This window comes from Homo sapiens, chromosome 14 (assembly GCF_000001405.40).
Source record: "Homo sapiens chromosome 14, GRCh38.p14 Primary Assembly".
In the NCBI taxonomy this organism is placed as follows: domain Eukaryota; kingdom Metazoa; phylum Chordata; class Mammalia; order Primates; family Hominidae; genus Homo; species Homo sapiens.
The window spans coordinates 77,456,483-77,472,698 of NC_000014.9; the positions used below are offsets into that span (position 1 = coordinate 77,456,483).

Here is a 16,216-nt window from a genome sequence, read left to right on the forward strand (position 1 = left end):
AAGGTAGGCCTGGGAGATTCCATTTCCATGTTACTCATGGGGAAAGTGAGGCACAAAAGAGTTCAGTATCAAAGCCACTTTGTTAAATGCTCCTATTTCAAATTACAATCCAGGCTTTCTGGCTCCTAGACCATTTCTAGTGTCTTGCATGGTCCTTCTACCTATTTTTCACTTTCCAGAAAACTAGAGATCATTCCTTCACTATAGTAATTATCTACAGATAGACATAGAATGTGTCTAACAAACACAATAATCTACCAGAGGATTTCTGGAATCTTTTTAACCATGCAATGGCAGTAGACAACTGCCATCAATTTGTATTTATAACGCCAAATGAGAAGCTAGGTTTACTTGGCAAGTATAGATAATGATCTAGTGGCTCTAGAGTTATAAAGTAATCAGGTACGATTGTCACTCTTAAGAGTGACAGGTGCTTCAACATGATTTAAAATACTTCAGAGGTTTGTCTTTATCGTCTCTTGTTTACTGACAGCCCACAAGGCAGGGTGAGAGACCTCAGGGGAGAACAGGAACTTTACAAAGGAAAACAGAAGAATCAGCAAGAAAACCACAACATGCTCCCTGCCTCAGAAAACTCCAAAAACCACCTACTGAGAAGTCAGACTTGGTTTCAATTATCTTCCGAGCCAGGAAGATACAGGTGAGGCTTGTGAACTGAGACCAGGGAACAAGAGTTAAGCTAGGATGACTCTACGGGTGAACGTCCAGGAAGCCATGGATCTACCGCAGTCGTCAGAGCCCAGCGGATCCCTGGCAGAGTTAAATGCTCGTTCTGAACCAAATGTCCGCTTCCGAACCAATCGCTGGTGCTCACTCGCAGCCCCAGTCCCAAGCGTACTCCAGCGCCCAAGGGTCGCCCTGACTGAAAGAAGAGAATCAGGCCTGTAGTCATAGGGTGTAGGGATGCCTCCTAGAAGAGGGGAAAAGATCAAGATGCGGAGAGGCTGGATCCAGCCAGATACGCGACCCAAGGGGCTTGGGACACCCTCACCTCTTCCGCACAGAGCCCTCCCTCTCAGGACAGCGCCAGCCTCCGCCGCCGCTGGACCAGCCCTTCTATTCAGGCTGTGCAGCTTAGAGAAGGGGGCGGAAGGGAATAATCGTAGGGCGGAGAGAAAACACGAATAACGAGACCGCAGGGCATGCTGGAAGTCGTAGTTTCTTCTGCCTCTGCTGTCAGGCGCTGTCCCGACGAACCACAAGGCTTCTTGACTACAGCCCCCAGAAACCCCAAGCACCGTGCTAGGTCATTTCCTCTCCTTTCCGCGAGACCTTCCGCGGTTATCCAGCGAGTCACGTAGCAAGACTACAATTCCCATGAGGCTCAGCAAGGGCGATTTAGGGTCCAGGGAAGCAATGAGACGTGTTCTTTGTTTTCCTATGGGTGAGGAATGGTTGTATGAGCAGTTGGGTTTCGGGACGCTTTTTGGGGAGAACCCGATGGAGTCTGAAGGATCTCTAAATCAGGCGGAACCCACGGTGCGGCGAGTTGGGACGGAAGTAACCGGTGGGAGTGGGGAGGAGCCGGAAGTTAAGGAGGGGAGGGGGTGGAGGGAAAAGCAAGCCAGGAGGTGCTTGCGGCCGCTTCTAGTAGTTTCCAGGCGCTGCCGGGCGGCTGGCACTAAGCGGTCCTGAGGCTGTGGCTACGGCTGCTCCGGAGCTGGTGGCGCCGCGATAGGAGAGCCGATGGCCAAGTGGGGTGAGGGAGACCCACGCTGGATCGTGGAGGAGCGGGCGGACGCCACCAACGTCAACAACTGGCACTGGTGAGGGCCAGAAAAGCAGGCCGGCCTTGGGAGACCTGCGGCCGGGCCAGGGTTTCAGGGTTCCTAGAACCTCGGCCCGGACAGAGCTGGGGCTGAGGTAGCCCTGTCCGGAGATGGGGGTGGGTCCTTCCTGTGGCAGGGGTCCGTAGCCCCAGGCCTCTCCACTCCGCGGTCACCTTCTCAGTGTTTGAGGGGAGGGAGATGGACGTGGAGGGCTGCGCCCCAGAGGAGGGTTGTCAGAGAGACTAGGAGATAACGCCCTGGCTGCTGCATCCAGCCCGAGCAGGGAGGTGCTTATTACACGTGGCCAGAGGAGTCACTGAGACTGGAACCTCCTTTGATTGTGTTGGGAGATAGCTGTGAAAGGCCTAAGGCCAGGGGTCTGTAATTCCTATTTTGCGGCCTGCGGTAAAATTAAAAGTCATTCATAGGGGACCGCTGCAGCGGTCCCGCGGGAGATTGAGAACGTGTTGTGCAGGTGCTCAGAGCTCAGATAGCTGCGGCCTCTCACCCGGAACTATCAGGTCGGGTGTGTTGGAACTCCAGGTTGCCGAGCAGCCGTGGTTTTATAACCTGACCGTTCTTAAAATAACTGCCCTCCTTCATGAAATCTTCCCAAAGTAATATTAGTTTCCTTATTTTTGAATTCCACTGAACTTTTTTCGTAATGTTTGTATTGTACCGTTACTTTGTTGCAGCCTTTTTTGCTGTTGTTTTCTCTAATAGTTGATAAGTAGGAAGGCAGATAGTGATGTTTCTTTTCCATATCTCACTTTGTATTCTCTCTTCTTAACATGCAGAGTACTTGACCTAATTTTTGTTGTTTGTTTTGAAGCCCTGGACTTAACGTTTTTGTGGCCATCTAGGGGACAGTGAATGTGTAGGAAGTTTATAATGCAAGTGCGAATCTGATAGGTCAGAACACCGTGCCAATGAGGTCAGGGTTATTGGTTTAATCCTTTCTGGGCCTTTTAGCTAAGTACTATTCTTTCATGGTCCAGTCTGTGTTCCTGATCTCAGCAATATGTGCAGTTTTCCACTTGGTCAAATGGGGGCGCCATGTTAAAGTATCAAGTATTCCCCCGCACCATCATGCCGAGAAAGGAGAGCATAATTTTCCATTGAGTTTATACCATTTTCTACAGCAGCTGTCTTTGTTGACAGTGTGCAACCCCTTGTCTTCCTAAAAAAGAATGACATGTTTGTGGACATACTGGAGTGCGACTGGGAGTTTTTGTGTTCTTTTCAAACTATTTGTCAGGCCTCCTTTAACCTCGTATTCTCTTGCATAGAGCAGCGTATCCTCCGTTTGACTGCTGGTTCATAGCTCTGTTTCTGCTTTGCAGGACGGAGAGAGATGCTTCAAATTGGTCCACGGATAAGCTGAAAACACTGTTCCTGGCAGTGCAGGTTCAAAATGAAGAAGGCAAGTGTGAGGTGACGGAAGTGAGTAAGCTTGATGGAGAGGCATCCATTAACAATCGCAAAGGGAAACTTATCTTCTTTTATGAATGGAGCGTCAAACTAAACTGGACAGGTAAGTCTAAGCTGGGCTGTCAGAGAGATTAACTGTGTTTTGTTTAACCTGTTAAGTAGCTGGAGAGAACAGTTTTGAGGAGTTACAGACCTTGAAGGGAGAAGGCAGATGTTGCTGCTTTGGAGTCCTATGTAAAGCAGTATCGAGTCCTGGAATTTCTTTGCCATTGTGGGATGCTAAATGGATTTCCTGTGTCTGGGTCTCATAAGTCCCATCCATGAAGTGGCCGGGCCACTGCATCTTTGGGCCTTGGTCTTTGTTGGGACACCTACGATGATATTTCTTCAGACTAGCTACATGTATCTTGTGAGTGATTTAAAAGGAGGAAGGAGAGGATTTTTTTGGTCTTGATCTTTGTGCACTGTCTTCAGTGTGAATCTTAACAGATTAAACCACTGCGCTAATGAAGCTTGTGTGTGACAGTAATTTGGGGCTGTTTTATCTATCTTCTAGTTTTATGTCCCTTGTGTATGACATTAGGAAAAAATTGAGGTCATGCGTATGACCGTTTTGGACAGTCCTGACTGTCGGGAGCCTGAATGTAAAAAGGCACTAAAGCTAAGGGAGTATGAGATAGCTACTGTCTGTGTATGGGGCAAAGCATGAAATTTGTGCTTTGATAAACATTTCCGAAGTGAACAGTCATATCATAAAGAAGGGTGCAAGTAGATCTATCTGTCCATGATTTTTGTTAATTTGTTTTTAAAGTACACTCGAAGCATAGTAGTGTGGAAGGAATCTTCGGTGTCATCTTGCTCAGACCTCCTTTTTTTTTTTTTAGACAGAGTTTTGCTCGTCACCCAGGCTGGAGTGCAGTGGCACGATCTTGGCTCACTGCAACCTCCACTTCCCGGGTTTAACCAGTTCTCCTGCCTCAGCCTCCCAAGTAGGATTACAGGTGCCCGCCACCACGCCCGGCTAATTTTGTATTTTTATTAGAGATGGGTTTCACCATGTTGGCCAGGCTGGTCTCGAACTGTGTCTGGCCGACGCTTTTTTTTTTTAATATAGGGACTAAAAATTGGTAGCATAGTTTTGTGCACATTAAATGGTAAGAAATAGATAAATATAGGCCGGGCGTGGTGGCTAACGCCTGTAATCCCAGCACTTTGGGAGGCCAAGGTGGGCGGATCACGAGGTCAGGAGATCAAGACCATCCTGGCTGACACAGTGAAACCCCGTCTCTACTAAAAATACAAAAAATTAGCCCGGCGTGGTGGCATGTGCCTGTAGTCCCAGCTACTCGGGAGGCTGAGGCAGGAGAATCGCTTGAACCCAGGAGGCGGAGGTTGCAGTGAGCTGGGATCGCACCGTTGCACTCCAGCCTGGGCAACAGAGTGAGACTCCATCTCAAAAAAAATAAAAAATAGGTGAATACTACAATAAATATGGTGCTTTACCATGAAAAAGACCTGAAGTTTATTTGTGAAAGTGGGCATCAAAGCCAGGCGCGGCGGCTCACGCCTGTAATCTCAGCACTTTGGGAGACTGAGGCAGGTGGATCACGAGGTCAGGAATTGGAGACACACCTGGCCAACATGGTGAAACCCCATCTCTACTAAAAAATACAAAAATTAGCCGTGTGTAGTGGCACGCACCTGTAATCCCAGCTACTTGGGAGGCTGAAGCAGAAGAATTGCTTGAACCTGGGAGGTGGAGGTTGCAATGAGCCAAGATCATGCCACTGCAATCCAGCCTGAGCGACAGAGCAAGACTCTGTCTTGCGGGGGGAAAAGGTGGGCATCAGAAGGGTTGCAGCTTGAGGACTACTATGGAATGGTAGAAGGAGAGTCATCCACAATCAGAGGGAACATTACACTCGTTGAGGATGGGTATGGCTCACAACACACGCTGTAAACTGAGGTCATTGGCAGATAGGTGTTTGAGATGTGTGTGTTTTATGTATCCTGTGTAGCTGGGTGAGGCTTTCCGTATTCACCTAGTGTTTCTCATGGATGGAGTCACATATAAGCAAACATGAACTTCTCATTATAATCAAATTGTTCCCTAATATTTCAGTTGCACTGAAATAAATTGATATTTTCAAAACAAGTATTCTAGCAGAACTACTGGCTTTTGACCCAAGTTCTCATGGTATAACTCATGCTAGTACCAAATCTGTAGCTCTTTGTCTCACATTGTAATAACATAGTTGGTTTCCAGTAACCTGGTGAGGAAAGACATTTCTTTTGGGGGTGCGGGTGTTGATTGCATCTGGCATGTGGCATTCTCAGAATAAAGAGGATCAGTTCAGCCATCCAAAAGCAGCAGAAGTGAGGTAGCAGTTAGGACCCTGGAGCAGAGACCTTTCCTGCCAAGGAGTGGACTAATGACATTGCATTGGTTTTGACAGGTACTTCTAAGTCAGGAGTACAATACAAAGGACATGTGGAGATCCCCAATTTGTCTGATGAAAACAGCGTGGATGAAGTGGAGGTTTGTGCTTCATAACTCCTAATCCGAGTCCTCTATATCCTCTTATTCTCAGATGAGAAAAGTGACCTGTCATTCAGGATTCATAGCCCAGGCTTGGTCCAAGCATTCAGAACCCTAGCCTGCAGATAATTTTCTAGGCATATGGTGCCATTGGAAACTTCTAGAGCAATTTGCACTTCTTTAATTTCTTCACTTTAGCTAGTGACATGGGTTCTAACTAACATTAGCCACTTGACAGAGAGGACTCAAGAAGGAACACTAATGGGGATTGTACGAATACCGCAGTACTCATGCATTTCCTTTGGAAATGTCAGCAGTCACCTGATTGCTCAGCCCCCACATTCCATAATGAGGGTGCCCCTCAAGTTATTTACCACCTACTTCTCATCTTTCACCCAGATTAGTGTGAGCCTTGCCAAAGATGAGCCTGACACAAATCTCGTGGCCTTAATGAAGGAAGAAGGGGTGAAACTTCTAAGAGAAGCAATGGGAATTTACATCAGCACCCTCAAAACAGGTATCCCTTGAGTAGTTCTGTATGCCTTAAGGAGGTAGTTTCCACCTGTTAGACTCTGGTTAAGGGCCTGGACAGTCCTTTCTTTGGCAAATGGGTAAAGATTTGGGGGGAGGGGGCTTATTTCATCTTAAAGTCAGTCCATAAGCTCGGAGTAAGGGAAAGATCTGGAGCTGTGTTGCCTAATAATGATGGTTGAGCATTTTAGATGTGGCTAGACCAAACTGAAATGTACTGTGATGGCCTGGCGCGGTGGCTCACACTTGTAATCCCAGCACTGTTGGATGCTGAGGTGGGCTGATTGCCTGAGCTCAGGAATTTGAGACCAGCCTGGGCAACATGGCGAAACCCTGTCTCTACAAAAAATACAAAAATTAGCTGGATGCGGTGGCCCATGCCTGTAATCCCAGCTACTCGGGAGGCTGAGGTGGGAGAGTGGCTTGAGCCCAGGAGGCAGGGAGGTTGCATTGAGCTGAGATCATGCCACTGCACTCCAGCCTGGATGACCAAAAAACACAAGAGATGTGCTGTGAGTATAAATTACACTACGGGCTGGGCACAGTGGCTCACACCTATAATCCCAGCCCTTTGGGAAGCCGAGGTGGGCGGATCACCTGAGGTCGGGAGTTCGAGACCAGCCTGACCAATAGAGAAACCCCATCTCTACTAAAAATACAAAATTAGCCGGGCATGGTGGTGCATGCTTGTAATCCCAGCTACTCAAGAGGCTGAGGCAGGAGAATTGCTTGAACCCAGGAGGTAAAGGTTGCGGTGAGCCAAGAACGCGCCATTGCACTCCAGCCTGGGTGACAGAGGGAGACTCCATCTCAAAAAAAAAAAAAACAAAAAAAAAACTGTATTTGAGGCTCACATTATATTTCTAATGGACAGCGCTAATCTAAAGACTTGGCATCTCTGGACTCATTACTTGAATACAGTCTGGACTATCTTTGATATGCACTCTCCAGGGATATTTAGATGCTTAGAATAGAAGTCAGCTCAGCTTTCCCCTGGGATTCCATTTCTGCCAGTGTATTCTGATCTTGGTGTTGGAATATGTATAATAACCATCAAAGAAGGTGATGGAAGGTGATAGACACCTTTTTGGGGAGGACCAGTACACCAGTGCCATAACTAGTTGTGGCTTTTCTGCAGAGGTAAGGCAGAGTGGAGGAAAGGCACTAACCATGCATCCATAGGTGCTGGGTAGATTACCCACTCTTGAAGTCATCAAAGTGCCACGGCGTTCACGCCATCCTTCCATAGTAGACCTCACATGCACTTAATATGTTATAATGTTTCCAGTTGAGTCAGGATAAGCTTTTAAAAATAATCCCAGTGGCCAGGTGCAGTGGCTCACACCTGTAATCCCAGCACTTTTGGAGGCCGAGGCTAGTAGATCACAAGGTCAGGAGATCAAGACCATCCTGGCCAACATGGTGAAACCCCGTCTCTACTAAAAATACAAAAATTAGCTGGGCATGGTGGTGCACGCCTATAATCCGAGCTACTCAGGAGGCTGAGGCAGGAGAATAGCTTGAACCAGGGAGTCAGAGGTTGCAGTGAGTTGGAGTGCAGGCTGCACTCCAGCCTGGTGACAGAGCAAGACTCCATCTCAAAAAAAAAATAATAATAATCCCAGTGAACATACTGTATTCTATAGCATATACCCAGGTACCAGTCTGGCATAGGCCAAAAGTAAAGATGTAAAAATAGCCTCTTCCTTTTCTGGTCATAACCTCATTCTGTGGTAGGATGGCTGTGTTTGTCAAGCTGTAATGAAACTCCAGATCTCAGCTACTAAGAAGTAACTTCCATGAGCTGGAATTTTATCTTTTCAGAGTTCACCCAGGGCATGATCTTACCTACAATGAATGGAGAGTCAGTAGACCCAGTGGGGCAGCCAGCACTGAAAACTGAGGAGCGCAAGGTAAATGGTTTTCCTGGGGTGGGAGACTGTCTGCAAAGGAACTTGAGAGACCGCCTTCTTAATTCCACATATCAGCTCTCTGTGTCCCTAACCTCTAAGCCAGACCAGCCTGCGATCTGCTCATGGTGCTTTTTCAGAGCGCCTGCAATATGCATTCATTCACCCATCTTTAACCTGGTTTTAATTCATTTATCGCAGACCTTTAGAGCAAGTAGGAGCTATCAGACAGTTAAAAGTCTGACTCTTGATTGCATTTAGCACCAGTTAGGAGGTTATGAACAAAGGATGGACTTCACCTATATAAGTCTTCAGTCTAATTGGTGTGTTGATATTTCATACTTTGATATTAGAGGTCCCATCAAGAAATGGAGTTACATCCCTGTCTTCACCCAATCTCCCCAATTTTCAGGGTGAGCAAGTACTTTATCTAGAGATGGAAGTTTGTGGTTCAAGCTCAGCACTTGGTTTAGAGCCCTGTTGCTCTTTTGTCAGCATAGTGAAGTGGATACTCTGGAAGTGGGGAGAAAACCGCTTCCAGCTATTTAAACATAGAAATTGTTTGAGAATTACACTGAGCTCTTCAAAAATATCTCAATGATTTGATTTGTTATTTGACTATCAGGGTCTTCCTTGTAGAGTGGTTATTTTTACTGGGAATTGAGGAGGTTTCCAGAATCATTACCCTCATGACTGAAACACCTACACACTCAAATTCCCTTCAAACCCCTTGGAATAATTACCCTTGGAGGTGAACATTTTTATGAGAATGAATGGTACAACTGTCTCTGAAGCCACGTTGATTGAGGTTGTATCATTACTCTGTATTGATCATTTTCACTGCCACCTTCACAGGCTAAGCCTGCTCCTTCAAAAACCCAGGCCAGACCTGTTGGAGTCAAAATCCCCACTTGTAAGATCACTCTTAAGGAAACCTTCCTGACGTCACCAGAGGAGCTCTATAGAGTGTTTACCACCCAAGAGGTAAGTAAGTCTTGTCCTTCAGGCCTCATGCCATCTGCCCTTCTAGGTGACTTGAGTTGGGGGCATATCCCTTCAGCAGTGTACAGAAGAGGTACTCACAAACTCACAACTGGAGCCATGAGGCCTTCATCAAAGTGAATTTTTCCCTCCCTCTATTCTCTTTTTTTTTTTTTGAGACGGAGTCTCGCTCTGTCACCTGCCCAGGCTGGAGTGCAGTGGCACAATCTCAGCTCACTGCAACCTCTGCCTCCCAGGTTCCAGCAATTCTCCTGCCTCAGCGTCCTGAACAGCTGGTACTATAGGCACACGCCATCACGCCTAGCTAATTTTTATGTTTTTTAGTAGAGATGGGGTTTCACCATATTTTTTAGTAGAGATGGGCTGGTCTGAAACTCCTGACCTCAAGTGATCTGCCTGCCTCAGCCTCCCAAAGTGCTGGGATTACAGGTGCAAACCACTGTGCTCGGCCATATTTATTTATTTTAAAAACAAAAGACCTGGTCTTGCTATGTTGCCCAGACTAACGTTGAACTTCTGGGCTCAAGCGATCCTCCTTCCTCAGCCTCCTGAGTAGCTGGGACTACAGGTGCACACTACCGTGCCTGTTCCAGTTTTGGGTCATATAAGTAGAAACCACTGAGTGAATCTTACTAGAAAAGTGAATGGCCATTCTTGGTTACTCTGTAGCACAGAAGAATTCCTGGCTTCTTTGTGTTGCACAGCTGACTTGTGCCATTCTGCTGCTATAGTGTGGAGTTGAGAAACATGACCGTATTCAGCTTTATTATCTGATAGTAAAGGTGGTTAGGATATGTGGAAGTTCCCATATACTCTGGGACAAAATTTCAAGATCTTATTTTTTAAACAAAAATGTAAATACAGCCATAAATTAAGAGGTACCATGTAGTATATGGGTGTTAGTATGTCTGTGCGCCTGCACCCAAAATACTCTCGTGATAAGTTCTCTCCCCCTTAGAAAACCAAGAACTGGAGAAGCAATTAAATGGACTGGGTTTTCTAGAAATTTAAAAAGATGTGTATAAACAAAATTGTACTGTACTTCAGAAAGTTATCTTAGTTGACTCCAGAGATGTGTTATGACCTGGCTATGCCAAAGACTGCATTCGATGGCTAACTTGGTTCTACTTGGTGCCTGCTGCCTTGAAGGACTTAGCAGCATAGCTGTGGTCTTCATGTGAATTGAATTTAGCACTTCAACACAGACTTCAGTTGAATCTCTGCTTCCAAACTAGCTAAAGTTTTCAGAGTTTTAAAATACTTTTGTATGGGAGGATTCCTAACATTTTTAACCTTCTGTTTATTTTTAATTTTGTACCATGTATTCGTATTACCTACTTTAAAAAATAGTAAAGTCTTATTAAAAGTAAAAGCGGCACCGTTGGGTAATCGAACACAGCAAAATGATACTGATTTCATATATATGGAGTAGGCCAGGCACAGTGGCTTACATCTCTAATCCCAGCACTTTGAGGGGCTGAGGCGGGTGAATTACTTGAGCCCAGGAGTTTGAGACCAGCCTGGCCAACATGGTGAAGCCCTGTCTCTACAAAAAATACAAAAATTAGCCAGGTATGGTGGTATGCGCCTGTAGTCCCAGCTCCTCAGGAGGCTGAGGTGGGAGGATCACCTAAGCTTAGGAGGTCGGGGCTGCAGTGAGCCATGATCATGCCACTGCACTTCGGCCTGGGCAACAGAGCGAGACCTATCTCAAAAAAAATAAAAGGGCTGGGCGCGGTGGCTCACGCCTGTAATCCCAGCACTTTGGGAGGCCAAGGTGGGTGGATCACGAGGTCAGGAGTTCAAGACCAGCCTGGCCAAGATGGTGAAACCCCATCTCTACTAAAAAATACAAAAAGTTAGCCAGGCATGGTGGCATGCGCCTGTAATCCCAGCTACTACAGAGGCTGAAGCAGAGAATTGCTTAAAACCTGGACGGGCGGAGGTTGCGTGAGCCGAGATCGCGCCACTGCACTCCAGCCTGGGCAACAAAGTGAGACTCCGTCTCAATAAATAAAAAAATAAAATAAAATAAAAGATGGAATAGATCTATTTTGGGACATGTTCTCAGAAATGATAATAGAAGTCTCAAACATTTACTTGAGAATTTTCTTTCATAAGCTCATTCTTATATCTTTCTGAACCATATACAATTTCAAATAAATAAAAGTAAACGGGTCCAAAGTAATGGCATCATCAGATCAGAAAGAATTCCCGAAGTCAAGTCCTGGCTGGTATTAAAACAGAATAGAGGGACACCCTGGACCCGCCTGTGGGGCAGACTGGTGGAAATGAGAGTTGAGGCATGCAGCCTTCAGCTGGCATTTGTCCTTGGGTCCCACTGAAAGCCATGTATCTTCTGCCTCTTTTTTTTTTTTTTTTTTTTTTTCCCTGCAGCTGGTGCAGGCCTTTACCCATGCTCCTGCAACATTAGAAGCAGACAGAGGTGGAAAGTTCCACATGGTAGATGGCAACGTCTCTGGGGAATTTACTGATCTGGTGAGTACCTGCCGGCCCTAGACTCAGGTTATTGCCTCTGGTCAGATGAGTGACATTTCTCTTTTTCTGAACTCTATAGGTAAAATGTAAGGCTTTAATCTCTTTGTTAATAAAACATTTTGTTTTTCAAAAAAAGGCTGTGATTTGAACTGTCTTGCAAGTAATATAATTGCACAGATGGTAGACTCCGTATGAAGGGCAGATGACTGATCCTAGCTAGGATTGGGTACATTGTAGTATATAATATAGACTGAGCTGTTTGATTATTTTAGGTCCCTGAGAAACATATTGTGATGAAGTGGAGGTTTAAATCTTGGCCAGAGGGTAAGTAAACATATTTATTGCCATTACCCCCAGAACTTTTTCTCTTTGCTGTAATTTTTTTTTTTTTTTTTTTGGAAACAGGGTCTCACTGTCACTCAGGCTAGAGTGCAGTGGCATAATCACAGCAAACTGCAGCCTTAACCTCCCAGACCCAAACGATCCTCCTGCTTCAGCTTCCCAAGTAGCTGAGACTACGTGTGCCACCATGCCAGCTTTTTTTTTTTTTTTTTTTTTTTTACTTTTTTACTTTTTTTGTAGAGATGGGGTCCTACTACATTGTCCAGGCTAGTCTCGAACTCCTGGGCTCAAGTGATCCTCCTGCCTCAGCCTCCCAAAGTGCTGGGATTACAGGTGCATGCCACCACGCCCACGTAATTTTAGTAGAGATGGAGTTTCACCATGTTAGCCAGGCTGGTCTGGAACTCCTGACCTCTGGTGATCCGCCCACCTCAGCCTGCCAAAGTGCTGGGATTACAGGTGTGAGCCACCACGCCCAGCCAGGTTGCCCCAGTCTTAAACTCAGATGGAAACCTAGATATGAAACCTCCGTCCCCTCTGCCTTTCCCAGGACACTTTGCCACCATCACCTTGACCTTCATCGACAAGAACGGAGAGACTGAGCTGTGCATGGAAGGTCGAGGCATCCCTGCTCCTGAGGAAGAGCGGACGCGACAGGGCTGGCAGCGGTACTACTTTGAGGGCATTAAACAGACCTTTGGCTATGGCGCACGCTTATTTTAGGGCCAGCGGCAGGGGACTCCAGCCTGCTGGACACTTCAGTCCAGCTCTCTCCTGACTGGGGCTTGCGACTCACAGGATTGCATCGTCCCAGCTGCTAACTTGGGGCCGGGGCCCCTCCCTTCCACATATACCTTGGGTTTGTGCATGTTTTCTGCTGGGTGGGTTCAGAGGGCAATTTCTCTTTTATGTGTACATATGCTAAATAAACATAATTTAAAAAACATGCGTGTCTGGAACCTATGTTGATTGAGTGGCTGGTATTGAGAGCTCCCTTGAAGGTTTTGAATTCAAAAAAGAAGGACAGGGTGGACAGCCTTGTCTCTATTCTGGGTAAGTGTAGGTAATTAAGAGGCACAGAGCCTGCTTCTCACTACCAGGCATTCCTGAGCTAGTCTTTCTTACTAGTAAATAGTTTCTGCCTTTTTACCCATAACAGTAGGGGAGGGTTGGTACTTGGGTAGGGAGTGCTAACACTATGCCTCTACTGCCAGTGCAGTTGACTTCTCACTTTGCACTGCCCATGGCCTCTTACCCTCTTGCAAAGATAAGTGATCACCAGATGCTGGTTTGGGATATGGGAAGGTGGGAGATTCCTAACTTGTGGCAGCTTCTGTTACATTGCAGTTACTGAGTACTAGACACTACACTGTTTACTTGCATTAACTCATTTGATCTCTATAATACGCAGTAGGTACTGTTGTCATTTGTTTTACAAGAACTTAATTAAGCCTTGGCTTTTAAATACATGTATTTTACATATAGCCAGGCGCAGTGGCTCAGGTCTATAATCCCAGCACTTTGGGAGGCTGAGGCAGGTAGATCACTTGAGGCCAGGAGTTCAAGACCAGCCTGGCCAACATGGCGAAACCCCATCTCTACTAAAAATACAAAAATTAACTGATGAGGTGGCACACGCCTGTAATCCCAGCCACTCAGGAGGCTGAGGCACGAGAATTGCTTGAGCCCAGAAGGTGTGAGCCAAGATTGCACCACTGTACTCAAGCCTGGGTGACAGAATAAGACTGTCTTGAAAAACAAGTATTTTACATAACATATTTGCTACAGGTGAGCCTTGGATTTCTTAACACCCAGATCCAACAAGCAGAGTTGAGATTTGCAACAAGGACTGTAACTGCAGAGCCCATACTCAGCAAATTGTTGTCTTTATTTAACAATATGTGGTACCATTAAGTTTGCTGGGCACTGACCATGAGCCAAGTGTTGGGGATATAGTGGGTTCAGACTGCCACATTGCAGGAAGAGGTAACAGTACCTGAACAGGGAGAGTCACTCCTGGACAAGCCTCGCCCTGACTTCCTGCACCCCAGCGGGAGTCAGTGCTCTCTAAGCCAGACGCTACCTCCTGCAGCTACAGCTATTTCCTTCGTCTGTTTATTGCCTGTTTTATTGGGTGGCAGCAAGACTTTGCAGGCTAAAACTGGTTAAAGCAGAGTTCAAGATCTGGTTCATTTACACTTCCCAAAGCCATCTTTGGCTTGAATTACAAGAGTGCTGGGCTGAACTAATCCACATCTAGTTTGACATTACATCTGCCTCCTAGGGGTGCAAAATGACGCCTTTTGATGAAGAACCTGGAGTCTAGCTTGAATCAAATCAACAGGCCCTTCCTAACAGACTCCTAACAGAGACGATTAAAAATGAGACTTTGGGCCGGGCGCGGTGGCTCACGCCTGTAATCCCAGCACTTTGGGAGGCCGAGGTGGGCGGATCACGAGGGCAGGAGATCGAGACCATCCTGGCTAACACGGTGAAACCCCGTCTCTACTAAAAATACAAAAAATCAGCTGGGCGTGGTAGTGGGCACCTGTAGTCCCAGCTACTCGGGAGGCTGAGGCAGGAGAATGGCGTGAACCTGGGAGGCGGAGCTTGCAGTGAGCCGAGATCATGCCACTGCACTCCAGCCTGGACGACAGAGCGAGACTCCGGCTCAAAAACAATTTAAAAAAAAATTAATTAAAAAAAAATGAGACTTTGGCTGGGAGCGGTGGCTCACGCTTGTAATCCCAGCACTTTGGGAGGCCGAGGCAGGCGGATCACAAGGTCAGGAGTTCGAGACCAGCCTGGCCAACATCGCAAAACCCTGTCTCTACTAAAAATACAAAAATTAGCCGGGTGTAGTGGCGGGCACTTGTAATCCTAGCTACTAGGGAGGCTGAGGCAGGAGAATCGCTTGAACCTGGGAGGCAGAGGTTGCAATGAACCGAGACCAAGCCACTGCACTCCAGCCTGGGCGACGGAGACTCTGTCTCAAAACAAACAAACAAACAAACAAACAAATGAGCCCTTTCGGCCAGGCGCAGTGGCTCACGCCTGTAATCCCAGCATTTTGGGAGGCCAAGGCGGGCAGATACCTGAGGTCAGGGATTCGAGACCAGCCTGGCCAACACGGTGAAACCCCATCTCTACTAAAAATACAAAAATTAGCTGGGCATAATGGCAGGTGCCTGTAATCCCAGCTACTCAGGAGACTGAGTGGGAGAATTGCTTGAACCTGGGACACAGAGGTTACAGTGAGCCAAGATCACGCCATTGATTGCATTCCAGCCTGGGTGACTGAGCAAGTCTCAAAAAACAAAAAAAAAGAAAAGAAAAAGAAAAAGAAAAAGAAAAAATGAGCCTTTTCACACACACCTGGCTGGAAAGTTACCAGTTCCAGAATACTTAGAATCAATCAAGTAGAGATGACCAATATGTTCATTAAACCCAAGGCACCAGGCTAAGTGCCTGCCATGTGACATGTGCAGTTGCCATTACGTGCCAGTATTGATGGCTATTCAATTCTTACCATTGCCATTTTACTGATAACATTTTGGTAAGCCATCTGGACCTAAAAAGCAAATGGCATAGCTAGAAATAAAACTGTGGACTTCGACTTTGTGTTTGAATAGTAAAAGTTCCACTTCCTAACAAATTGGGTGAATATCCTTATCTGTAGAATGTGCATAATAGGTGTCTTGTGAGAGCGTTCGAGATGATACATGTAGAAACGCTGGCACCTGGTGTCATTTAGCAAATAGTCGCTGCTGAATCCATTCAAAAGCCCAAGTGTTTGCCCTTAAGCCAGAATGCTATTTTGAAAAGCTGGCTAATTTTAATCCAAATTGCGTATCTTGGGCTAAGAGCTCTCCATGCCTGAGAGGAAGAACAATGCACAAAAGTGGACTCCACTCCTAAAGATTCTTACTCAGTGGGTGTGGGGTGTGGCCCATAAACAGAGTTTAATAAATACCCCAGGTGATTCTAATATCAGGGATGCACTTTGAGAAGCATCTCAACATATTAACAAAACAAAACCTCATTGTAAAGGAGCCACAGCAGCACATTTGGGTCCCTTTTGTGACTAATGGGGCAAAGGATCTAATCATTCTTTCTCTTTAAAGACCTCTTGACAGAGGTCAGCAGACTCTATACTGCTGGTTACCTAAAAC

General features: G+C 46.3%; 2 protein-coding genes across 23 annotated transcripts in view, besides 5 other annotated features; one reads left to right on the top strand and one right to left on the bottom strand.

Moving 5' to 3' along the window:
• Positions 1 to 1,119, bottom strand: part of VIPAS39 (VPS33B interacting protein, apical-basolateral polarity regulator, spe-39 homolog) — a 30,927-nt gene extending 29,808 nt beyond the window's left edge. For 11 of the 21 annotated variants that reach the window (NR_174476.1, NM_001400337.1, NM_001193316.2 and 8 more), the window contains exon 1: positions 1,013 to 1,119. The gene's annotated coding sequence lies outside the window, so the exon portion shown is untranslated. Of the gene's footprint in view, positions 1 to 612 lie in introns of all 21 variants that reach the window. The other 10 variants (NM_001400324.1, NM_001400334.1, NM_001400332.1 and 7 more) reach the window with 4 other exon arrangements.
• Positions 917 to 1,439: an enhancer, noted in NCBI's record as "H3K27ac hESC enhancer chr14:77923742-77924264 (GRCh37/hg19 assembly coordinates)". NCBI's record gives its function as "activates a minimal SCP1, AML or CMV promoter by ChIP-STARR-seq in primed H9 embryonic stem cells {active_cell/tissue: H9 hESC(primed)}" and the evidence as "EXISTENCE:reporter gene assay evidence [ECO:0000049][PMID:30033119]".
• Positions 917 to 1,517: a biological region, named in NCBI's record as "H3K27ac hESC enhancer GRCh37_chr14:77923742-77924264".
• Positions 1,058 to 1,517: an enhancer, noted in NCBI's record as "active region_8801". NCBI's record gives its function as "activates an Ori minimal core promoter by ATAC-STARR-seq in GM12878 lymphoblastoid cells {active_cell/tissue: GM12878}" and the evidence as "EXISTENCE:reporter gene assay evidence [ECO:0000049][PMID:35858748]".
• On the top strand, positions 1,385 to 12,990 carry AHSA1 (activator of HSP90 ATPase activity 1). Of its 2 annotated transcripts, none has more exons than NM_001321441.2 (9): positions 1,385 to 1,500; positions 3,134 to 3,324; positions 5,678 to 5,760; positions 6,160 to 6,277; positions 8,116 to 8,204; positions 9,057 to 9,185; positions 11,601 to 11,702; positions 11,975 to 12,026; positions 12,595 to 12,990. In NM_001321441.2, exons 4-9 carry the CDS (start codon positions 6,211 to 6,213, stop codon positions 12,765 to 12,767), a joined length of 612 nt encoding a protein of 203 aa, NP_001308370.1. In that variant the 5' UTR covers positions 1,385 to 1,500; positions 3,134 to 3,324; positions 5,678 to 5,760; positions 6,160 to 6,210; the 3' UTR covers positions 12,768 to 12,990. The 2 variants fall into 2 exon arrangements, with proteins under 2 accessions (NP_001308370.1, NP_036243.1); NM_012111.3 differs by lacking the exon at positions 1,385 to 1,500 and adding an exon at positions 1,611 to 1,787.
• Positions 1,440 to 1,962: an enhancer, noted in NCBI's record as "H3K27ac hESC enhancer chr14:77924265-77924787 (GRCh37/hg19 assembly coordinates)". NCBI's record gives its function as "activates a minimal SCP1, AML or CMV promoter by ChIP-STARR-seq in primed H9 embryonic stem cells {active_cell/tissue: H9 hESC(primed)}" and the evidence as "EXISTENCE:reporter gene assay evidence [ECO:0000049][PMID:30033119]".
• Positions 1,688 to 1,867: an enhancer, noted in NCBI's record as "active region_8802". NCBI's record gives its function as "activates an Ori minimal core promoter by ATAC-STARR-seq in GM12878 lymphoblastoid cells {active_cell/tissue: GM12878}" and the evidence as "EXISTENCE:reporter gene assay evidence [ECO:0000049][PMID:35858748]".
• Positions 12,991 to 16,216: the final 3,226 nt, after the last annotated feature.

Bases quoted from the DNA above. Each gene is read 5' to 3' on its own strand.
- AHSA1 (NM_012111.3), top strand. From the start codon at position 1,708: ATGGCCAAGTGGGGTGAGGGAGACCCACGCTGGATCGTGGAGGAGCGG. The intron at 11,703-11,974 runs GTGAGTACCTGC...TGATTATTTTAG, and splicing joins CTGGGGAATTTACTGATCTG to GTCCCTGAGAAACATATTGT. The intron at 12,027-12,594 runs GTAAGTAAACAT...TGCCTTTCCCAG, and splicing joins GTTTAAATCTTGGCCAGAGG to GACACTTTGCCACCATCACC.